Source organism: Homo sapiens, chromosome 13 (genome assembly GCF_000001405.40).
Source record: "Homo sapiens chromosome 13, GRCh38.p14 Primary Assembly".
In the NCBI taxonomy this organism is placed as follows: Eukaryota; Metazoa; Chordata; class Mammalia; order Primates; family Hominidae; genus Homo; species Homo sapiens.
In genome coordinates this window covers 43,744,396-43,770,304 of record NC_000013.11, presented here as the reverse complement: position 1 = coordinate 43,770,304, position 25,909 = coordinate 43,744,396, and the positions used below count along the sequence as shown (strand labels likewise).

At 38.4% G+C, this 25,909-nt stretch overlaps 1 protein-coding gene across 28 annotated transcripts in view; it reads left to right on the top strand.

Moving 5' to 3' along the window:
* ENOX1 (ecto-NOX disulfide-thiol exchanger 1) overlaps positions 1-25,909 on the top strand; it is a 573,843-nt gene that overhangs the window by 16,668 nt on the left and 531,266 nt on the right. For 2 of the 28 annotated variants that reach the window (NM_001347966.2, XM_047430416.1), the window contains one exon: positions 8,468-8,576. The exons of 25 other annotated variants lie outside the window; for them this stretch is intronic. The gene's annotated coding sequence lies outside the window, so the exon portion shown is untranslated. Of the gene's footprint in view, positions 1-5,436; positions 5,568-8,467; positions 8,577-25,909 lie in introns of those variants that run through there. One more of the 28 variants, XM_047430420.1, reaches the window with a different exon arrangement.

Here is a 25,909-nt window from a genome sequence, read left to right as displayed (position 1 = left end):
ACTCCTTCTACTTACACCATTGTAGGTCATGTGACCAGGGGGAATGCCATTTTCTCATTGTCTCAGATCTGGGTAGAAGCATATGCTAACTTCGTCCAAACTTCATGAATTGGAAACTAAGAGTTTTGTTAAAGAAGAAGCGGAAATGCCTCACTGACTAGGCAGCTAATGGTGTTTGTTAGAGTTTACTCTAGATTTACTGATAGACATTTGTTTCCAATTTTTCATTCTAAAATTCATTGCTGCTCTAAGCATACTTGCATGTATACCATTCTACACTTGGGCAATTATCTCATTTGGGTAAATTCTTATTAGAGAAATTGCTGGATCAAAAGATACGCTCCTTTTGCATTTTACATAAGCCATCTAAGCCATGAAACTACACTATTGCCAGTTAGGCGTTGATATCCCTCAACTGCCTGTTGTGAGCTTTTGTTTTTAAGTCTCTGAACCTTTAAGTGGAGGCTTCAGAATTAAAGCAGAATTTCAGGTGTCACAATTTCTCTGAGCATGACAAATTGGAACTGACATCATTTGAGGTTAATCAAAGCTCCTGTGGTTTTTAAGTGTTTCACGAGGAAGGCAAAGAGAAAGGGATGGAGAGGAATGTATTCTACCAGCCATAAGCCTAGTGCTTGGTGGGTGATGGCCTAGAGATAGACTATTTGGGAGCCCCTGAGTGGCCACCTGTATCTTGCTGTCAATACATGCTTGCTCTGCAGTCAGTCTGTTACTATCTCCTTCTCCATTCCAGTATAGGATGTAAAGACCAGTGAAGCATAATTGAAAGTGCTTGGAGCTAATGGCCATCTATGCACTTACTCTCTGCTCTCAACTGTAGTTTTTCTGAAATTCTTGCAGTTGAATTTAGTAAAAAAAAAAATTAACTTAGAAATCAGTGATTTCTGGGTGGCAACACTTAGTGTGCCTTGGTCATCCTTTTGAGGAAGTGAATGGGGAAGCTCATTAGGGTGGCACACTTGTGGGGACCCAGTGGCAGAGGGGTGCTATTCGCTATAGTAGCCTTTATTAATGTGAAGGAGAGGGCATTTAGAAACCTAGCAGAAGATTCAGTGTTATGGGTAATGTCTTTTGAGTATCTTCAGGCACAGTTGCATATGTCATCCTATTCAATCCTCATGGCAGCCTTTCTAATGACAATAAGAGGAAGCCAAAACATAGATTAAGCAACTTGCCCACTGTGATAGCTGGTAAATAGAAGCAGCAAGAGTTCTGAACACCTTCCTTTACCACATTGTTCACCATGTTGCTTCTTCTCTCCTCAAATAGAAATTAACTAATAGCAATTTGTTTATTTTATTTTCACTGATACTAGAAAATAAGCAACACAGTGTTAAGTATTGAAATTGAGATATGGCATTGGAGAGATTCACCTAATAATTGTAAATGATAAGTGACTGAAAGTGTAAATGGCCCAAGTAAGGTTTGTGACCTAGGCAGACAACGAGGAAATCGGATTGACAATGACAAAGTGAACAGGCTTACTTGTGAAAAGTGACTGCTAGTTGGGAGTATTCATGAGCATGAGAAACATGGAAAGAGGCCAAGTGGTAAAAATAGATGAGATAAAGTAATATGGTGTATGTATGTTTTAAAGCTGTAAATATGCTAAAGAAATGTTAGTACTTATTATTGTCAAATTAAATATTTATTTATGTTTTAAGAGACAGTATCTTGCTTTGTTGCCCAGTCTGGAGTGCAGTGGCATGATCATAGCTCACTGTAACCTCGAACTCCTGGGCTCAAGTGATCTCCATCTCAGCTACCCAAGTAGCTAAGACTGCAAGGCATGTGCCACCATGCCTGGGTAGTTTTAAAATTTGTTTTGTTTTGTTGTGTTTTGTTGCAGAGACAGGATCTCACTATGTTGCCCAGGCTGGTCTTAAACTCCTGGCCTCAAGTGATCCTCCTGACTCAGCCTCTCAAAATGCTGGGATTATAGACATGAGCCAACACACTCAGCCTAGAAATGTTTACTATGGAAGCATATGTTCATTACAGAAAATTTGATTGGTGAAGATTTGGAGATGTCTGAACTTGTCTGCTATGGTTTTTTGGGTTCAGAATGCTAGAAGGATATAGAACAATTAAACAGTAATCAAAAAGGAGGAAAAGCACAACATAAATGAAAGCACAACTTTATCAGAGTAAAAATGTATGTATGTAAGAAGGAAAATGTTAGGTTGTAGAGTACTTAGTGGGGAAAAATATGGCTTAAGCTCACTGGAATGGAGTTATGTAATACAGAACCAGTTCATTTGACATTTAGAATATGGAACAGTTCTTTGTGGGCATCCACTAAAAGAAGCCCCCCTCCGCTCCCCCCCGACTCTCTTAGTCTCTCTCCCTCCTCCTCATCTCTAATTGCTGAGTGCCAGGTGGAGCTGGAGGGCACTGACAGATTGAGTGGTCCTAGTGAGTCTGGTATTGCATCTGGCATCCAGTGTATTGCTCCCCTCAGGCTCCTGCCGGCTGCTATGCACTGCCCATGTTTGTGGTGTCTGCCAGTGGACAACTGATTAAGAGCCATGGGGGAGAGTAGAGGGCTTTGGCAAGTGCCCAGCTGTGTATGACAGACCCTGCTCACTGTAAGTGCTTTGGTGGAAGCTGAGTGCATTATTTCCCACTGATGCTCTAATGAACCCATTACAGCATATCTGCTGTACTGTCTCCTTAGTCACCTTTATTGGGAATTGACTTCATTGCCCAATTGCACTGATTGTTAGAAACTTCCTTTTAAAGCACAGTCTAAACTTTTCCCTCCTTGGCGTGAGGCAATTGCTGCCTGCCCTATTTGGCAGTTGCTGGGAGTAGCTGTGAACACTGGTGATATTGTTGGCTGAGGAGTAAAACAGAAGCTGCATAAAGTTTGGCTCCCTGCATACTTCAGGGCACAGGTTCTGATCCCAAGGTTAAAAACAACACAGAAACAGTAACTAAAAATGTCATTGAACAGTGCATACTTGAATGGCCTTCAGTGCCCAATGGGGACATCTGTGTTTCATTGTTGAAGATGCCACTGCAAACTTCCAGTGCTCCAAATTTTTGCTCCTGTCTCTTTATACTGAAAATCTTAGCGTGAAATATTTAGTGCCCTAGGAAAGCTAAATTAATGGTGAGTCAGAGTAATTAAGGCAAAGTAAATAATCTCCAAGGTTCTCATTCCCCGTGAAACTAATTTCATATCGTATCCTTCATGTGTTAAAAATAGTTCTCTGCTAATTCAAGATGCCTGTGCTCTGTGTTGGTGAAGTGCACTTCAGTTCTATTGAAAGGATGCAGATTAGAGAGTTATTTTCAATTGGGCAATTTTTTTTTTTTTAAGAGAGACATTCATTTTGGCACCATGAGAGCGTGAATCTCTTTGGGTGAGCTGAGAGTTGGATACAGCTGCAGCCGGGCAGATGATGGGCCAACTAGCTTATGATAACTTGCAGCTGGGATATCCTTTTCATCCTTTTAGTGAGAATTCTCAATTCCCATTCTTCTGTTCCATGATGAAATTAGTTTAATTTTTTTGGATGGTTTTTGACTGTCCGTAGCTTGACCTTGTCTGTGTCTACAAATTTAGAAACCAAGTCTATTTTACTCTTCTGAGCAATGGGAACATTGGGACTTGAATATAATTTTAATTATTTGTCACCTTAAAATAATCATGAAATACAAGCTCATAACCGTTCCCTGAATACATTTTTAGACTTCAGTGCTCCAAAGTTTACCTTTCTACAGTTGAGCTATAGCAGTGTGCTACCCCATTGTCCCGGAGGCTGGGACGATTGTGGTGCTTTGGCTTGAGTGCGTGGCTAGGATACTATGCTTCCTCAAGTGAATGAACTGTGTTGGGATTTATTGTTACAGCAGTAGCCTTAATCAAATAAGATAATTCTTTCTCTCTCTGTGACAAGAAAGTGTTTTGGTTAGAAAGAACGTAGGTCTTTAGAGGAAAATGTTTAACATACAGTCCGCAGTTACCTACAGTTGAAATATGAGACCATTATCACTGCTCCTGTGCACCTTCAGGATCCCTCAGTCCCTTTCTTCAAAGGGTTGCCTCAGTCCTTTAGTGCATCAGGGACCTGTTTTTCCAGATAAATGCAATTTTGCTTTTAGAATGTTTTGAGGTGGCAACACGGGAGTGGAATATGCAGTGTCCAGTGCATATCACAGAGTAGAATCTGTGTCTAGCCACATGTCCAAGCGGAAAAATGCAGCTAATCAATGGAAGGAGAAGCACATATAAAATGACTAATGATTCTTTTGTCTTTTAGAGATTTAGTTTTAGTGTCATAAGAACACTTTTTGGACAATGAAGTCTCTCCTTTTGCTAAAATTTAAATTTCTTTTTATGAGAAGAAAGATACTGAAATTGAGTATAGGCAGACTGTATGTGAAGACATCATACTCTATTTGTATGTTATGACTTTTTAACATTACTATCTTTATTATAATCATTACCTAACGATGTGAAAAGCATCATTGCATCTTTGGATCACTATGATTTCTGAACGAACTGGGTAATGATTATTTTCCGAGTTATAAAGGTGATGAAATTGAAAGTTGGTGAAGTCAGTTTGTCATTCATTCCTTCATTGATTCATTGTTTATTTCGTAAGTGTTTACTGAGTGCTTCCTAATGTTACTGCAGCTCTGAATATACAAAGATGACATGTCCCTGCCCTGGAGGAGCACTTAAGCTACTCGAGGAATGGATAGCTATAGATAACTAACAGTGTGTGATCAGCATTAGGAAGCAAATAATTACCAAGCATTAGAGGGGTGCACAGCAGGGTGTCAGATTAATTCTGACAAGGGAGTTGGGGTGCCTTTCATAGACAAGGGAACTAAGCTAGGCTCCAAGGGGCTCTCCAGGTGGAGGTCATTCAAAGCAGAGACACAGAAGAACACAGTATGTCCAGGGAGCATAGTATTAAGTGGGTGGGATGTTGAGAACATGTGGAGAGTACAGGAAGATGAGGCTTGGAAAGGTCACGTCGGTTGTAAATGACAGAGTTGGGAAAGTACAGGGTTTTCTGCTTCCCAGTTTGATGTTTTTCCTTTAGACTAGGTTCTTTGTTATTTAGTTTTTTTCTCCCTAAATACATCATTAGCACCCTCTATATATGCCATGTTGAGGAATATGACAACTAGGAGTTTCACTTGACAAGGTTATCCATTTAAGCTAGAGGTGTAGCTTGCATTTGGTCCATGTACAGGTCAGGGCGTGTTCCTATGGATCAGTTAAGGTGACGTGAGTGGGGGCTAAGGCCCAGACATTCTCATTTAAGTGTTCTGCCCGTGAAGCAAATGTCATTTTAATCAACCCCAAGTTGCAAGCACTCTTACCTCATGACCTTAGCCCTAGTTTAGAGGGCTCACAGATTATGTATATTTGGCACTTGCAAATGTAAAAGCTTTAGTAATTATTTTGAAGGAGACAGTGTTTTTTAAGCTGTTTCTTCTGATTGAAAAGTAACTTTTTTGTTCACAGACATGAGGAAATGTTAGAAATAATTGAAAACAACTTGAAGAAGGAGGATAAAGTGAAGGTAAGGCATATTAGCTCTTAGCTGATATTATTGCTTGAAAGCAGGCGTTTTTGTTAGATTTTGTACACTGTATGTGGTGTAAAGAACAAACCTTTCCGTTTTTTTTTTCTGAGAGCCATGATGTTATCTTAGTAATTGAAAATAATCTTCTAAAGTTGCTCTTTAACTAGATTTACACAATCCCCTTTCAAATCAGCTGTTATCTGCCTTTACATTTCACAGTAAATGTTGCTGTCTGCACAGCCCCTGCTAACAAGAAGATCAAGTGTAACTCTTTTCATGATTTGAAATAAAGTGTTTCCATCATAATTATCCTGGCTCCTGGTTGTGCTGTTACAAGTGGGCTCATTTCTTAGCTGCCTTTGTGAGGATGTTTCATTGTGGAATATAAGGCCCTCTATTCAAGCAGAGTTTTCTTTCACAAACATCTTAAGGATTTATCTAACTCTCCAATCATTTTAACTTTTTGTTAGAATATGTTTTTGTAGATGTTTCAGGGTTGTGACTGCAATTAAGACAAGGTAGACTTTGCCTCTGAAGTGTCACTCAGCTATACTGGGTGACACTTAAGAGGCACTGTATCCCCTGTTTAAATCTTCACTGACCTCGTTTTGGCAAAATTAGAATAAACAGGATGCCTATTAAGCTGCAGTAGGCAGGTTTTAAATAGGTGTTTTATGTCAGCGGTAAGAGAGGTAAACATTAAACTGGGCTACCTGGGAATGTTGTGAAAAGCCATGGAATCTCCTTTGGGATTCTTCAGGAATCAGATAAATTCTCATAGGTCTAGGATACAAATTCTCTATGAATCTTATATATCTGTGATAATACATGTAACTCTTTTTCTAGATAGTGTTCACATTTTATGTTGTTCCACAGGCATTATTGATCTAAAAGTTTTTTGCTTATTCTACGCTAGCAACATTTTCAGTAATGTTTTCTTTAGCTCAAAATTGCTAATTGCTTACTTTCTCAGGGAAGATGTCAATCAACTGCTATGGAAAGATAATAGGACATGAAGTTCTATTCAAGTTGGAGTATTAAATCAATCTGACATTGTACTTAGGAAGTTCTCAGAGGTATTCATTTCTGGTATTTTGGGAAGTGAATGAGGCTTGAGGGTTGAACTGAGGTTGGGGTTGTAGTGAGAAGACACTGAAGCAACTAGTTGATTTTCAGACTTGTTTTGAATAGAGTCCTCGTAGCTCCACTTCATGATGTCATTTGGGATGTTTAGATTAAGATCTGCTATAGACTGAATGTGTGTGTCCTCCAGAAATTTATGTGTTTAAATCCTAATCCACCGGTAATTAGATCATGAAGGCAGGGGTCTCATGAATAGGCTTAGTGACTTGTAAAAGAGCCAGGAGCACTCCCTTGCCCCCTTTACACTCTGTGAAAATGCGGTACGAACACAGCCATCTATGAGCCACGGTGTGGGCCCTCACCAGACACCGGATCTGCTGACACCTTGATCTTGGGCTTCCCAGCCTCCAGAACTGTGAGAAATAGATTTCTATTGTTTATAAGCCACCTAATCTATGATATCCTGTTATTGCAGCCCAGACATAGACAAGGCCTAACTCTTCCACTTAGCAAACTGTAATTGCCTGAAACATTTTAAGCCTAACTTCCCTCGGATGAAAAGTAAGAAGGTTGAATAAAATTATTTTCTAAGATTTTCAACTTCTCCAAAAATGACGATTTCAGTTAAATATGAAGAAGATTCAATGCATCATATACCATTAATAAAGAGAGTTAATTTATTAGCCATATTTACACAGTTTGCCTTTTTCAGCTATCCATTGCATTGATTAACTTCCATTAGTAGGGCTAATTGAGAACGGATTGAATCACTTAGACACCTTTCTAATTACATTAACAAATATAGAAATTTCCCATAAATATTTCTTGTAATGCTTCAGAGGCTTCATATGTGACACTTTCTTTTTAAAAAGTATATTCTGACTTTAGGTAGACTAAGCATTGTTTTGCATTGTCAATAGTAAGAAGTAAATATCTTGCCTAATTCCCACAGCTGGCTACCATGAGTGCATTTTCAATACTCTAGGATTCCGAGTGAGTGCTTGTCCCAGATTATTAACTTTCATCTGGTGAAAATGGATGCCACTGGCTTACATTTACTGGAGGCTAGAGACTTAGGTTGTGCTTCTCCATTTCTTTCTATATTGTGTTTTGATTAGTGCAATGCTTACTAGTACTACCACTTAAAAGACATAGAGGGACAATCGTAGGGAGTTAAATTCAAATTTTATCTCATAGTTAACTATATATGTGAGAAAATTGATAAGAAACTCAAATCTGATTGTGAAGCTTAATTTATCTACCCCTAATTATCTGAGAAGACTGAAACGTGGCTGTCCTGTGGAACGAATAATAGCTCCCAACTTGCACACCTTTCCCTCTTCTCAATAGTAGGCTGTTGACAGCACAGGGAGCAATGGGAAAACTGGAGGGAGATGTTTGCTTAGAGGAAATGGAAGTGGCTACATCTGTAGTTTACATTCATCCTAGAGCTCCAGACCGACCTGGGTAATGAAGTTTAAATTGCCCCTGAGCTGCTTTAATTTATGAGTTTCCCGCTTAATCGAGATGTTGCCAGATGAATTCTTCAGACTTTTGCCAACACTGAGCTATCCCTCAAGACATATCTCAGCAGCCCTATCCATCTCAGATACACCCATGCACATTAAACATTACCCTTCTCCTTGTACCAGTAAGTCCAGTTTTATAGGACATATGGTTTAGAAAAAGCAGACAAGGAGAATATGCATTAATTATATTTGTAGGAGGAGGCAGCATGACCCTAGAGAAGAGCAGAGACACACTTTTATTTTATTTTATTGTTTTTTATTGCTCTTTCTCTTCCTGTTCTACAGCTGACTACTTGGAATGATCTTTCCAATTCCTTTCCTGTAAAAGTTTGTAATATTTTACTAATTGGAGCTGGAAGGAGACACAGATTTGGCTTAAAGCTGCAAGAACATGGTGAGCACTTTAAAATGTTATATTCCAAGAATCCTGAGTAAATTCAGCAGATGCAGAGGCGAAGAAGGAGGACCTACAGTCCCTCAAGTTGAAGAGCAAGGAAAGGCTCTCCCAACAAAATGAAATTCTTCTGAAAACAATCTAGTCTCATGCTGAAAAGTGAGCAGACATCCAGAGATAGTGGGCAGGGAGTTGATATTTGTAACATGCTAATGCAGAGTCATTTCTGTGGAAGTGTGTAGGTAGTTTTTTATACTCTCACAGAACAGTGTGTTTTTTCTCTGTATAAAAAGTGCTCTGAGAGTTACTGCATTTATCTGAAGTAATTTCAAGGTGTTTGGAAATGTGATGAGTCCATGTGGCAAATTTAGAAACATGAGGGTATTTTCTTTATCGTCTGAGGTAGTTCCATGTGTTTTTGTATGAAATAAAGGTGGTTTCCTTCAGATTGAAAATGTCTATTAAAAATTTTCACTGGTTTTAGTGCTGAGGAATTTGCATTCTCTTGCCTCAATTTTTCTATACCTGAGGGGAAAATTAGGTATCTTGTGGGCATCTCTGCTCCGGGAGCATTGTTTCCTGGAAGGAGAATGAGGACAGGAAGGCAGGAAGACCTTTGGGCCTCTTTCTGTGACTTTGGGCAGCTCACTTAGAATCTTGGTGGTCTCAGCTTCCCTCTCAAAATAATAATAATTGTACTTGCCTTTTTCATATCCCAGGAATTTAGGGAAAATAAGGGAGATAATAGTACAAATGTTTGAGCTTCTTCTAGGGAAAATTCTGTATAATCCTAATCATAATTGACATAATGCTCATTGCCAGGCAGGTGGCATCTGCTTGCTTGTTTGCTTGTTTTTTTTTTTTTTTTCCACTTTAATGCTTTTGGAATATCTGTGATCCTGGAATAAAGTCAGGAAAGTGCAGTGCCTCTTGTCCCACTGAAAATATTTTCCACAAATTCTGTGCATGTGAACTTTGTTTTGGGCAAAGAGTCTTTTTACTTTATATATGATGACAGTTGTTTGGATTCCCTTGGAAATTTTTATTTATGTTCCAGCTTATAAAATGCAAGGAGAAGAACAATTTAGCTGAAGAGAGCAGGATAGAAGGGAGGGATGATGGCAGAGGTGGGCAGTGTGGACAAGTGCTAATGGAGTCAACGGGCCCTAAAGAAAACAGAATGCATCACTGATCCAGGGATGTTTAGTGTGGGGCAAACATGCACACGTTGGGTTCCAGGCATTCGGGGGAGGGCATGGACAGATGGCAGGGGACAGCATGCAGTGGGAGTTCTGTTCCTCTACATCCCTCAGAGAGTTCTGTGTCTTCCTGGTATAAATACATAGTACTAACATTCATGAGGATTACCAGGAGCACTGAAAATAGTATAAATTACAATCATTTGTCTATTTTAGTGATTCAGGGCAGTACCTAATGTTGCATTTTAGAAGGACTTGGTTTTAGAAATGTTAAATAAACCTTTAGTACAAGGTGATACATTCTAGCCTTCTACAAAGTGCACTTAGACCAGGATATTCTTTCATGATGGCAGACAAATGAGGAGTTTCTTTTCATTATCTAATGAAAAAAGAGTTGGTCTATATTTTCTCAGTGTATTCCTATAGGGAAGAGAGTCTTATTGTTGATAACCTTTCAGACAAGTAGATGCTTCTGCATCCTATGAGGTATTCCCAAAGCCCCTCTTTAATCTCCACCATTGTGCATAATTTTGTGATAATGAAGCAGTTATTTTCTTCTCTTGATAGACATTTTATGAAGGCAGAGACTATGCCACTCTTGCTTACAGTTGTAGCTCCAGCATCTAACATGGTGTCTTAACACATAGAAGATGCTCAGTAATTACTTGTTAAATGAATGGATGGGTGGGTGGATATGCCCTAATATGATGCAGCTTGATTATGCTGTAGTCTGGCTGGATTAAGACATCATCCAAGAAGTAAATACAGTATCTTTAACTGTTGCCTGTATCTACACACTGAAGAGACATCTTCCAAGGTGATGAAAAAAAGTCATACCTTTGAAAATCATTAAACTCTTATTTTTAAAATGTTTATCAAATGATTCTGATGTGCAGTTTAGAGTGTCATCCTCTGATTTAGAGTTAAACAATTATATTTTACTCTGCAAGATAGTGGCTTCATCACTAGAAGTTAAGAAAACAACTTTATCAGATATTGTGGAGACTGTTTCAGTATAGCATGAGGGGTTGAAAAAGTTCAGTGAGTTAAGTTCTAATTTAACTCCGAGGTTCTATGACTCTTTGGATATATGTTTACTTACATAGCTTTATAGAAACTGATCAGTTCAAGCAGCTGGGAGCAGTGGCTCACATCTGTAATCCCAGAACTTTGGGAGGCTGAGGCAGGTGGATCACTTGAGGTCAGGAGTTTGAGATCAGCATGGCCAACATGGTGAAACCGTGTCTCTACTAAAAATACAAAAAATTAGCCGGGCGTGGTGGCAGGCGCCTGTAATCCCAGCTATTTAGGAGGCTCAGGCAGGAACAGCTTGAACCCAGGAGGCAGAGGTTGCAGTGAGCCAAGATGGCACCACTGCACTCTAGCCTGTGTGACACAGAGAGACTCAGTCTCAAAAAAAAAAAAAAAAAAAGAAACTTATCAGTTCCAGGGGCCAGGTTTTCACTTACTTAACTTTCTGTTTCATTCTCTAGCTGTTTGTAAGGTAGAGCTGTTTTTCTTGGTTTTCTAGACCTTGAGCAAACAGAGCGTCCTTTCCTTTGCTCAGACTGCTGTCTGCCTTGCTGCCATCCCTGCCAAATCTGGTAGAACTTTAACAAATAAAATTTTGAATTTATGACTATGTTTATTGACTGTTGTTACTATTACTACAAATATCAACAGTAACATTTATTGAATACTAATCATGCACTAAGAATACTGTAAACATCATTTAATCGTCTAATTTAAGCCTCATTAAGTCCTATTTTCCCCCATTTTACAGATAAGGAAACCAGGGCTTAGGATTAGTAACCTGCCCAAAGCCATTCAGGTAATTAGTTTAAATTAAACTTATTTTGAGATATAGATTCCTACACAGCTATAAGAAATAATGCAAAGAGATTCCTTGTACTTAATTTCTCCAAATAGTCATATCTTACAAAACTGTAGTGCAATATCACAGTCAGGATACTGACATAGATACAGGACACTTTCATCCAACAGGGATCCTCATGCTGGCCTTCTATGCACATCCACCTTCCTCTCTTCTTGTCCCTCCTCTGTCTGTGAACTGGCAACAGATCTGTTCACCATTTCTATAATTTTGTCATGTCAAGAATGTTATATAAACACAGTGTTCAGCCTTTCGAGATTGTCTTTTTTTTTCCTCTCAGCATAACTACCTGGAGATTTATCTAAGTTATTGTGTGTATTTATAATTTGTTCCATTTTATTGCTGAGGAGTAATCCAGGTTTTTAAACATTTATCTGTTTTTTGTTTTTTTGTTTTTTTTTGAGAGGAGTCTCACTCTGTCACCCAGGCTGGAGTGCAGTGATGTGATCTTGGCTCACTGCAACCTCTGCCTCCTAGCTTCAAGCAATTCTTCTGCCTCAGCCTCTTGAGTAGCTGGGATTATAGGCACACACCACCACACCTGGGTAATTTTTGTATTTTTAGTAGAGATTGGGTTTCAACCATGTTGGCCAGGCTGGTCTGGAACTCCTGACCTGAAGTAATCTGCTTGCCTTGGTCTCCCAAAGTGCTGGGATTACAGGCGTGACCCACCGCACCCGGCCAATCTGTTGAGAGACTTCTGTGTTGTTTCCAGTTTCCAGTTTTTGACTACTGTGAATAAAGTTGTGATGGACATTCCTGTACAGGTTTTTGTTTGAACATAGGTTTTTATTTGGCTGGATGAAAAAAAAAGTCATACATTTTTGGGATAAATGACCAAGAGTGTACTAGTAGGTAATTGCGTGTTTAGTGTTATAAGAAACTTTTAAAATGCTTTCCGCAGTTGTACCATTTTACATTCTCACTTGTAGTGTAAAATGGCTTTGTTTCTCTGCATCCTGACCAACATTTGGTGTTGTCATTTTTTATTTTAGCCACTCTGATAGGTGTGTATTGATACCTCTCTATGGCTTTAATTTGCATTTCCCTAATTCTTTGCTGAAATGCCATGCATCTGTGCTAACATGACAGAGTGGCTCAGAGCCGGCTGGTTGAGGGTGTCCTCACTCACATGTCTGGTGGTTGGCTGACTGAAAGCTGGAGTGATGAGATGGCCAAGCCACACAACCACATGTGTCTCATCATCCAGCTGGCCAGCTTGGTGGTAGGCAGAATTCTGAGAGAGGAGAAGCTCACAAGACCTTTGGAGACCTAGTCTCAGAACTGGCACACTTTCACTCCCCCTGTATCCTGTTTTCAAAGCAAGTCACAAAGCCAATCCAGGTTCAAGGGATGGGGAAATTGACCCTACCTCTTGATGGGAGGAGTTGCAAAGTCAGATATCAGAGGGAATGGATACAAAGAGGAGCAGAGAATTGAGGGCCATTTTGCAATTAATCCACCATATCAGGTCTCTCGTATAATTATCTCCCATACATTTTTATCTTTCATAACACACATTAACCTTGGAAACAGTATGTTTTAGGGGAAAAATATTCAGCTGGGAGTTTGAAAATCAATATTATATGTCTATGTTAAGAAATTGGATTAACGATGCTTACAACCCTAAAATTATCCAGCTTTTTTTTTTTTTTTTTTTTTTGTTGTTGTTTTTGTTGTTGTTGAGACACAGTCTCACTATGTTGTCCAGGGTTGGAACCCTGGGCTTAAAGGATCCTCTTACCTCAGCCTCCCAAGTATATCCTGCTTATTTACAAACATTTACCTGTGACATATCCAGGATGGCTTTTGCCTAAATCACAGTGGGACAGTTATAACTAGAGAAGGTAATTTTCATCTTTTTTGTAACATGCATAATGCAGACTTGTTCCTGCCTGTCCAATTTCAGCTCAACTGCTTCTGGGATAGCCCCTAATGAGCAAATCCTTACTAAGTACTAGGCACTGGAGATAAAAGAGAGGAATAAGATACCTGCTGAGAGCTCCCAGTCCAATGAGACACACGGATGCACATAAAAATGGCCAGTGGTGTGTTGCATCTCCACTTCATGCACATCTCTCTCTCTGCCTCCCCTCCCCTCCCCTCTCCTTTCCCTCCCCTCTCCTTTCCCTCTCTCCCTTCCCCTCCCCTTCCCCTCCCCTCCCCTCCCCTCCTCACCCCTCCTCAACCCTCTTCTCTCCTTGTGACAGGGTCTCGCTCTGTCGCCCAGGCCGGAGTGCAGTGGTACGATCCCGGTTCACTGCGGCCTTGACCCTCTGCAAGACTCAGGTGATTCTCCCACCTCAGCCTCCTGAGGAGTAGCTGGAACTGCAGGCATGAGCCACCACAGGTAGCTAATTTCTATATATCATGTAGAGATGGGGTTTTGCCATAGTGTCCAGGCTGGTCTCACACTCCTGGGCTCAAGTGATCCACCTGCCTTGGCCTCCCAAGTGCTGGGATTACAGGCATGAGCCACCATGCCCAGCCTTTTTCTTTGGACCTCTGGCACTTAAGTTTTTGTTCTTCTCACCAGGAACAATTCAGCCTCAACTCTTTTCCACTATGTCACCCCGAATGTGTCAACCACATATATTTATAGCCTGCTTAAAGCTTTGTCTGTGGACTGGACTGTCTCATATGACCTGGCTGAGGGATGGTGTTCTGATTTTTAGTTAGTAAGGTATTTCTTTATTTGCTAGTTAATTCTGCTCATCTTGGTAATGAACCATGGGCTGGCTGGAGATAGTTCAGGTCTCACATCATAATTATTTTATGGCTTTGGCTTAAGGTCCAATTATCTCTAATGCTTTACTGGTTTTGCTAAGATCATACCAGAAAGTAATCAACATGTATTCTTGCCATTTTACCTATTTTAGAACTTAGAAAACAATTGTGGATGATTTTATAATTTTATTTTTGTTGAAAATGTTTTAACAGAGGAGAAAAGTGTGGGAGGATATGTACCAGATGTTAGGAGTGGTAGTCTCTGAGTACTAGATTTAATGATGATTTTAGTTTGCTTATCTAGGCTTAATTGGGCTTTCTAATTTTATACCGTCAACATGTATTATAATTGTAAAAACATTAAAGATTTTTTATAGGAAAGAAATGTAAGGCCCACAAGTGGTTATTTAGAGTGAGTGAGAGAGAGAGAGCATGCAGGAGTGAGAGGTGTTAGAGCTTCACGGGTACATGAGCCCCTGAACAAAGCAGTGCCCGAGGCCTCCTGAATGACTGTGACACAACCTGGAGAGACAAGAAGCAGGTTAGGGAATTTTGACCAGATTTCACTCTTTGATGTTATTTCTGTATGTTTTTCTCCTGGTGTCTATTTCTCTCTGCCCTTCATATAGCATGTCATTCATACTCAAAGATGATGGTTCTGACAGTGATGGTCATATGGAGATGTGGAGGAAGCTGTAAAAGCTCATGTTTAACCAAAAATCCTTTCAATTAGGAAATGAGGAACATGCATTGATTTTTTTCTGTGTGGAATGGAGAAGTGTTTTGTGTTCTGGAGTTTATAACAATGGTATCTTTTTTTTTTTTTTAATCTCCTGAGCAGATAGAATTCTGGTGAATTGAAGGATGGAGAAACATGTGACCTCTGAGTTTTCTATTGTGGAGAATCAATGCAGCAAGCAGGAAATGCTGCATTGTTAAGCCAGCATTTTATTTACAGATGCAGGATCAATAAGAACAGAAGCAGATTTAGTTATACAGGCATACATTAATATGCAGATTTTAGAGTCAGGAGTCTAAGACCAGTCACTCAAAATATGAATGGAATCCCAGCACTTTGGAAGACCATGGTGGGAGGGTCACTTGAGACCAGGAGTTTGAAACTAGACTCGGCAACATAGTGACAAAAAATTAAAAAATTAGCTGGGTGTGGTGGCATGCACCTGTCACCCCAGCTACTCAGGAGACTGAGGCAAGAAGATCTATTGAGCCCAGGAGTTTGAGGCTGCAGTGGGCTATGATTGTGCCACTGCACTCTAGCCTGGGTGGCAGAGGAAGAACCTGTCTCTAAAAAAAAAAACAAGCTGCTAAAATTAAAAGATACAAGTAGAGGAGTTCGAGACCAACCTAGTCAACATGGTGAAACCCCGTCTCTGCTAAAAATACAAAAACTAGCCAGGCGTAGTGGCACACACCTGTAATCCCAGCTGCTTGGGAAGCTGTGACAGGAGAATTGCTTGAACCCAGGAGGTGGGGGTTGCAGTGAGCCGAGATCACACCACCACACTCCAGCCTGGGTGACAGTAAAAAAAAAAAATAAATAATAATAATAATATATATATATATACACACACACACACATACATACACGCATATATGTGTATATATGTATATATGTGTGTGTGTATATATGTATATATGTGTATATATACATATGTATACACATGTATGTACACACATATATACATATACATATGTATATATACATACATACGTGTAATGTATACATATATACATATGTATATATGTGTATATACGTATATACGTATACTTATGTATACATATACGTATACATATATACGTATATATGTGTATTTATATACGTATATATGTATATATATGTGTATTTATATACATATATATGTATATATATGTGTATACATATGTATATATACACACACACGTAGATACGTAGAAGAAATACATCAGTTTATGTCTCTGAAATGTCAGGACTAGATTCCTATTAAGGAAATCTGGTCGTAATTGGATAAGGAAAAAAGCAGAAACCAACTGAAAAGAATCAAGACCAAAAGAAAGGTGACGTATTACTCTTAATAGGCCCCTGAGTTTCTCTTATGTGGTTAGTGATTATACTGTTTCACATTTCAGAAACTGTTTTAGGAAAAACCATAGATACTACATATTTGAATTTTTCCCATATCACTTGACTGATGGGCTTAAAGGCTCAAACTATCTAGGCCAAAGGCATAGAAATATAAATGCTGAGGATATAGCTCTATTTCTCCTCTCTCCTGAGCAAATGTGTTTCCACAGCGTGTCTTTCCCTATGGGTAGTTGTGAACAACTTCTTTTGTCCCCTTAGGCATCAAAATGTTGATCTTAATTCTTAATTCCAGTGTCCTCTGGCAAGGTTCTGGGGTGCAATATCCATAAATAAAAATCAATTGTGTTACTATATACCAGCAATGAACAGTCAGGAACTGAAACAAAAATGCCATTTACAATAGTATCAAAAATACGAAATACTTAGGGATACATCTGACAAGAATGTGCAGAAGCCGTACAATATTTCTCCCAATCTTGTTGAGAGAAATTTTAAAAGACCTAAATTGTTAGAGAGTTAAAGCTTGTATTTGATAAAAAGTCTCAATATTGTTATGATGTCATTTTTTCCCAAATTGATCTATAGATTCAACAAAAACCCAATCAAAATGCCAGCAGTTTTTAAATTGAAAAGATGAATCTTAAAAGTTATATAGAAGTGCAATGAGGCCGGGCGTGGTGGCTCATGCCTGTAATCCCAGCAGTTTGAGAGGTTGAGGTGGGTGGATCATTTGAGGTCAGGAGTTCGAGACCAGCCTGGCCAACATGGTGAAACCCTGTCTCTACTAAAAATACAAAAATTAGCTGGATGTAGTGGCGCGTGCCTGTAATCCCAGCTACTCAGAAGGCTGAGGCAGGAGAATCGCTTGAGCCTGGGAGGCAGAGGTCGCAGTGAGCCGAGATAGCACCACTGCACTCCATTCTGGGTGAGAGAGTGAGACTCTGTCTCAAAAGAAAAAAAAAAAAGAAATGCAATGAACCTGGAATAGCCAAAACAATTTTAAAAAAGAAGAAGGTTGGAGGACTAAATTTGACTGATTTCAAGACTTGTAATGCTACAGTAATCAAAAGAGTGTGGGACTGGTGTCCCAACAGAAAAATAGATCCTTGGAACAGAAGAAAGAGGCAGAAGTAGATCCACATGTGTATAGACCGTGGATTTTAGACCAAGGCATGGGGGCAATTCAGTGGAGAAAGGATTAATTTTTCAACAAATAGTGTCAAAACAAGATATCCATAAGCAAAAAATGAACATCAAACCATATTTTATAATATATACAAAAATGAACACCACATGGACATATATGTAACACCTAAAACTATAAATCTTGTGGAAGAAAACCTAAGAAATAATCTTTGTGAGATTGGGTTAGACAAAGATTTCTTAGATATGACACTGAAAGTGCAATTCATAGAAGAACAAATTGATAAATTAGACATCATCAAAATCAAAAATTTCTGCTCATCAAAAGATAGTACTAAGAGAATGCAAAGATAAACCACAGATTGGGAGAAAATATTTCAAATATATATGACAAATCATATATAAAATACTCAAAATATATAAATTACTCTCAAAATGTAATAATAAGAAAACAACCTACTGAAAAATGGGGAAATGAATTGAACAGATATTCTGCCGGATAAGAAATATGGGTGGTAAATAAGCACATGAGAAGATGCTCAACATGATTAATCATTAGGGAAATGCAAATTAAAACCCCAGTGAGATAATACAACAATAGACATAGTAGAATGGTTGTAATTAAAGCAACAAACCATATCAAATGTTCATGAAGATATGGAGGAAATGGAATTTTCACACACTGTTAGTGGGAATGTAAAATGGCACAGCCTGTTGGAAAATAGTTTGGCAGTTTCTTAAAAAATCAAACATATACCTACCACATGACTCATTTATTTCCACTCCTCAGTTTTTCCCCAAGAGGAAAGAACACGTGTCTGTACAAAGACTTGTATGTGAATGTTCATAGCAGTGTTCTTTGTAATGAACAAAAACTTGAAATAACCCACATGTCCATCAACAGGTAAAAAGACAAACTCATTATAGTATAGCCTATCCATGCTGAAACTACTCAGCAGTAAAATGTAACGAACTGTTGATTCATACACTGTGTATGAATCTCAGTATAATTACGTTGTGTGAAAGAAGCAAGGCAAAAATAAAGACTACATATTGCATGATTCCCTATATTTCAAACTCCAGAAAATGCTAATGACTCTCTAGAAAGCAGATCAGTCGTTCCCTGGGGATGAGGGACAGAGAGGAGTGACAGAGAGAGTTGACAAAAGGGCATGGAAAAGTTTTAGAAATAGTGAATGTGTTCATTATCTTGATTGTGATGATGGTTTCACAGGTATGGATATATGTTCAAACTTACGAAATTGTACACTTTAAAGTGTGGAGTTTATTGTGTTTAAACTATTATTCCATAAACCTATTTTTAAAAACCCAGTGCAGTAAAGTGCTGTGGCAACCAGAAGAGCAGTGATGCAGGAGATTCTGTTAGTCCAAGAAAAGCAGTGGGTCTCTCCTGGGAAAGGAAAGTTGGTAAAGGCTTTACAAGGGTGGCTGACCTTAGCTGAGCTGGGAAAGATGAATAGGCATTTGTTGAAATGCTACAAAGACAAAACATTCTAGGTGCAGAGATATTGCCAGTAAGCATTGAGAGATAAGAAGGAGCATGACAGATAATTTGGGGACTTACGAGGAATGTGGGGTCCTGGCAGCCAGAGAGGTAAATGAAGCTAGAGAGGTAGGTAAGGTCCAAACCAGAGGTCTTGTTTGTCATCCCAAAGTGTTAGGATTTTAGCCTGTAGGCCCAGGGGAGCCACTGAAGGTGTCTAATCTGAGGAGTAACAGGCCACGTTTGTGTTCCAGGAAGATTATTCTCACTAGAATGAATGCTAAACTACAGTGATTAAGGATATGTAGGATTTTAGTTAAATAAGAGGAGAATTTCCAACCAGTAAAGGTTCTCTGTTATTACTTCCCATGCAACTATTTTGTTTTGAATGGGCCTGAAAGAAATTTGATCGCATGGAACATTATGCACCACGTGTCAACTGTGTAGCTGCATACACATGTATATACATTTCTGGGTTTCTCTCCTGTCTTTGCCTTACCCTACCTGTTGATGTAGAGGGGACATCTGTCAGTCTTGTTCCAAGACTCGTTTGACAAAAGGTTCCAGATCAGAGATCTTGCCTTAATCTGAATTGTAAAGGTGCTACACTGCAGAATCACATCAGAGTGGAGTTGAGAACCAAGCTTCATACTTGGAGACTTGGAAGGTATCTCAGTGTAGTTGAGCCATGGTACAAGCACTAAAGACCAGGCCTATCTACCCTAGGGTGTTTTGAAAAGCCCCCTGCTGTGTTGAAAGCCTGCTGTGTGCTCTGTTGTTAGGGCAGCTATTAATCCCTCAGCTGGAATGTTATGCTTTTGACACTATTAAGGGATGCTGGAAATAATAATACTGGCACAAAGCATGGAGCCTTCTAATGATCACATCTGCACTGATTCTACTGTAGATGTTTCCACTTCCTGATAATCTTTGGTCACTAAAACCCAGAGTATGCCAAATTTTATTTTCCTACTCTGGGGAGAAGCTTCCTGTTTTTTCTTCCTCCTGGGAGTGGACCTTCAGCCTTATGAGTTGGAAAACTAAATCTCCAAGGGAGACCTCTGTGTGCATCTTGTGAAAACCTAAAGGTTTATTGCTGCTGACTTTTTAACACTGGTGATTTAATAACCTTTTAATTGTTATAATTTAAAAAAATGAGATCCAGCCAGCATTTGCATTTTTGGTAGTCCTGGAGATGGTGATGTGTATTAATTTTAGAGTATAGTCGAATTATTGGGGTATGTATCATAATTTGACTCTAATATTCATTGTCTTATATGTTGGGAGGACTAATAAATTCAACAAAGGATCCTGAATTCTTAAAGCTCATAAGTAAAAAACTGAAATAAGATGATGGTGAGAATACTTTTACATGCTTCATAGTTTTGCTGTGATGACTAATTGTTGAGTTACTAATTACTCAACTACCTTAAAAGATGGAGAGGAGTGAAGTGCTTGTTATTGTCATTATTGTTGTTTTACTGTTACTCTCAGTACAGAAAATAACATCAGTCATATTCTCAGAGATCAGTGGTTGTGTAGGCTTTAAATTAAGTCAAACCTTGCTAATTGCCCGTGAGGAGCAAAGCTGGTTCCCTGCTGGGAAACAGGTGCATCTTTGCTACTTGATGCTGATGTTGTCCTTGCTGTTGTCACCAAGCCCAGCATTTCCATGGCTCTCTTCTCCAAGGTGAGCTCCAGCCTTGGGCACAGAGGTGCCTCTCTGTACCTGTTCAAAGGTAAAAAAGCAAAATTATGTTTATTCCTGTAATTCATAGATCTGTTGCCATAAAATAAGCATTTCAAACTACAGAGAATCTTTCTTGTATGGGCTTTAACTTGGTTACAAAGCCAAAGGAAATGGGGTCTTCCTAATTCCTCCTTGTAAATAATTGTAGCTGAATTTATTCCCTGCCTTGTTCTTATTGATGTCAAATACATTCATGCAAATAGTATGATTAATGTGGCTGACTCCATTTATAAGAAATTTTCACTAAAATTCAGATTAAAGAGGAAGAAAGACTCCTGTGTAACTTGACGTGAAACTATTACATAATTACTGTTGGTAATAATAGCTAGTAATTACAAAGTATCATGTTCTAGGCATGTTTTAATGTGCTTCACCTGTGGTTACTAATTTGACCTTCATAACAACCCTATGGCATAGATACTATTTTCCCTATTTTACAGATCTAAAACTAAACCTCAGAGAAATTAAGTAACTTATCCAGAGGCACACAGCTTGTAAGTGGTACAAAAAAATTTAAACCCAGGCAGTCTGTCATTAGAGTCTGTATTCTGAAGCAACATGCTCTCTTATCTTTTAATTATAGAATACTTTAAAGAAATCATCTTAAAGACTCAATATAAAGTTTTACTTAGATTAATAAGTAAAATAGGACAATAACATTGCTGTAAGTTATTTAGTACTTATTATGTCTGGTACTGTGCTAAGTACTTTGTATCCATTATTTAGTATTTTGCATGTATTATTTAATTCTCTTAATAATGCTTTGAAGGAGGAGGTATTTTCAACATTTTGTAGATGAGAAAACTAAGGCTTAGCTGGGTTTACCGACTTGCCCAAGGTCAGGTAGTAAATTCAAGACAAACTTCAAAGCCAAGTCCTTGATAGAAATACTTATGTTTTTAACTCTGTGCTAAAATGTAATAACAACTCAAATCAGACTGTTTCATACATAGGCTGCTCTATTACGTAAATCAGGCCATTAGTTTAGAACTTTTTAGTCAATGTAAATAATTCCTACATATCAGAATGATTGCAGATTCTCAAGTAATGTTTTCATCTTTATAGTTAAAAGTGCTTCAAGTAATGGGATTTGTACTTGCATAATACTTTTAATTGTTGGGCATTATAGTTTGGAGCAGGGCTTCTTAGCCTTTTTAGTGCTAGGGACATCTTTGGTAGTCTGTTGAAGTCCATGGACTGTTTCTCAGAGTAAAATATGTAAATGAATGAAATAAAACACATAGAATGACAAGGAGCCGATTATATTGAAATAGTTATCAAGTTATTAAAACAAACTCGTGTTATGGTAATATACATGCTTCTTCATTAACACATTGTATTGGATTTAGCAGAGCACATAATGACCACTAATTTTAAAGTGGTGATAAACAGATAATATTTTGAGATAACAAGAATTGCAGTGAGATATGAAAATATCTGTGATTTCTGTTGGTGACACATATGTAAGTACTACTAATGCTACCATGATTTGTTGTCTAAATTCCTACTTGAAGCAAACGCTAAATTTCAGTTAGATACTGGTGACAAAAGATCTGATTTTTTTCCATCTGAATTCAAGAACTTCCATGAATTCTATCCATGGATCCCTTTGGGATCTGAGGACCTGAATTAACAAACTGTAGTCCAGAGGGTATTGCTGAATCTTATATCCTTCAAATAAAAAGGTATCCAATTTGAGGGCCTGTTCACATCTAGGTCCTCAAAATGTTTTTGCCTCAACATTACCAAAGAATCTGGAATCGCCTTCATTGCCACCACATAGGTGTTGGCACCAGAGGATTCTGCCTGGGCCTGAGGAAGGCTTAGACATGTTTTCTCCTCTGCATGGTTTGTTGGTTATAAGCCTGTCCATGAAGTGTGAAGACACAACCCTCACCATCGCAGAATGTATAGTTCTAAAGAGAGAAGGCAACAGGTCCAGACATAAACTTGCAAAGTTGGAGGTGGGATTACAGATGCCTGGGAAACTTGTTTATGAAGGGCAGTTATGGCAGTGGAAGCAATACATGCAAGACTTTGATGATAAAAGGAAGTTACTTGACCTTACTACAGTGATAGAATTCACTAGAATACTACCCTTTTCCATACCTTCTTTTTGTGCACAATAATAATACCATATAGTATCATAACACATTGGTTCATTTGTTCATTCAGAAATATTTATTGAGAGTCTACTATGTCCCAGGCATGGAGCTCTCAGTTGTTTGTTACTTGAATCTCACAATTCTTGGAGATTATACCCGTTTTTCAGACTAGGAATCTGAAGTGGTACGGGTTGTGATGTGACTGTAAATGGTAGAGCCAATCATTTTACTTTTTATACTGAGGCATGCCACTTATACTTGTCACCATTCCCAGCTTGCTAAACTGGAGGGGAGGTCCCAATAGCTGAAACACTTTTGGCTGCCCCGATTCCTGCAAGTATCTGAGGCATGGTGATGCAGACTAGCATGAACAATGGTGATTTTCAAGTGAAGTTTGCTGAACTGGTTAAGAGGAGACAAACTGCCGTTTGAAGTTCAGATTGCATTTCAAAACAAGAAAGTGGATTTCAGGTTAATGGATTTGGAGTCAGATGACTTTGAGCTTGACTAGCTTTTGGTAAATCGGCCATATGTTATGAGTCCCCTCATAAATTCTGTGTACTTTCCTCCAGTTTTTCTTTGTGCTGTTTTATTCACCGTTACCCACTAGTTTTCAACCTCACTTTTTTTTTTCTACTTACTTTCTTCTCTCTTTCAAAAATTCCCTGTTACTTTTTCTTAGAACTATATGGATGAACAGTGATCTGTTGTACTCTATGAAATACCTTCTCTTATGTTTATGTTCAGGTGATTTTCTCATTCCTGTTACCCCTCAACTTAGTGTTGATTGGTTTACTACTGGCCAAGTAAGAGTCCAGCTTATCGACCACTTATTTTAATTTCCTTAATTACACTGCCTGTCTCCTGCCCTAACCTCCATCTGCCCTTCAAAGCTCCTCTTAAATTTTAACCCTCGTTACCATAAAATAAATGTCCAAAGAATTTTTCCTAACATGACAGTTATTTTTTAAAATTTTAATTCAGTTTTTATTCTTTAAAGTTTTTTTCTAATGACATATGTAATCCAAGGTTACAAAACTCAAACCTACAGAAATACATTAATATAAAAAATATAAATCTCCCATTCCATAATTTCTTTTCTATTTAGTGTATATTGCTTTAAACTTTTTCTTTCTGGTGTACACACTGACATATATTAATATAGTTGTTTATATTCATATAAATATGATTATACCATATGTATTTTTCTCACTTGCCTTTTAAAAATTTTGCTTAGCCATGTATCATAGACATATCTTCAAGTCAATTCAAATAGATATACCTCAATTTTTAAAGTGGTTATATTAGTCCATTCTCATGCTGCTAATAAAGACATACCCAAGGCTGAATAATTTATAAAGGAAAGACTCACAGTTCAGTGTGACTTGGGAGGCCTCAGGAAACTTACAATCATGGCGGAAGGGGAAGCAAACATGTCCTTCTTCACATGGCAGCAGCAAGGAGAAGTGCTGACCAAAAGGGGGAAAAGCCCCTTATAAAACCATAGGATCTCATGAGAACTCACTATCACAAGAATGGCATGAGGGTGACTGCCCCCATGATTAAATCACCCCCTACTGGGTCCCTCCCACGACATCTGGGGATTATGGGAACCACAATTCAAGATAAGATTGGGGTAGGGACACAGCCAAACCATATCAGTGGTATAGCAGCTCATTTTATGTATATGCCAGAATTCATTTAATATGTTATCTATAGATGGATATTTTAGTTGTTTCTATTTCTTTTACCATCACAAACAGAGCTGTAGTGAATATTCACATATACTCTAATTGCCTTTTAAAAATATAGTGTATGTGTTCTTACAATATGATTAAAGGAAGTTTCAAAAGAAAACTGATATGTCCACAATTCTAACGTTTTCCTTAAGTGGTTTTGATTTCTCTGTATTCCCTTCCAGTTTTTGGCCTTTGTATATATGTATGATTTTATGTTTTAATCATTTTATATTTTGCTTTTTTCATTTAATGTTATTTTCTGAGCACTTTTACATGTGGATAAATTTTATTTTGGTTCAAATGGAAGTGTAATTTTATATTAAGTAGATATTTCAGTTGGCATTTTTGTTGTCTTCTCCCTCTTTTGTTTTCTGTTCCGTCTCATGATGCTTCACCACTTCAAACTTTCTATTGCAGTTACTTTTCCTCTAGCATATTGTCTGTTAACCATCATCTTCTTCCTCCACTCTTGTGAAGCCTTCTGGCCAGAGACTGTCATCACCCTGCTACCTCCTCTGTGGAGCTCAAGGCCCAGCATACTCCTAGTGTTCAATAAATAAATGATCATCATTTGCAAGTGAATGTTTTCCAGTTTTCTCCCTAAGAATTTCCTTCACATTGCAATGCCTCTACAAACACTGCCTTCTGGAAAAATTGTTAGTAATCCGTAATGCTAAGATGCATTGTAGATGTAATTTAGATTCACAGCCATTTATGCAGTGCATTATTTAGGCAGTTCAGCACCAAGGAGAGTGACTATTTGCTTTAGCTTGGGTTCAAGGTCAGTGGAGGATTTGCTGTGTTTAGACCCCTATAGTACTGTTGGCAAGATGTAATTTTTCCATAATAGCTGGAAAGCCAAACCCTGTATAAACATACTTTAATAATGGTGAAAGCACTAGCGGAGATGTACACTGAGGAAATATTAAAGTTCACACTCCTGTAGCTAAGACTTAATTGAAGCAAGTAGTCTTTTATTTACATTTGGGTTGCTTGTTTTAATACCAGTTCCTAGAGTAGTTCATCACGTCTTCCATTCCTCTAGACGTGACTGCCAAAGAGCCCATTTTAGGATTCCATTTGGTCTTTGTCTTGTCACCAGGCCTGAGGAAAGATTTACATCTTCCTTTGTGTGTCTTGGAGATCCTTGGCATGGTATCCTAGCCTCCTTTCCTCGTTAAGAGGCACA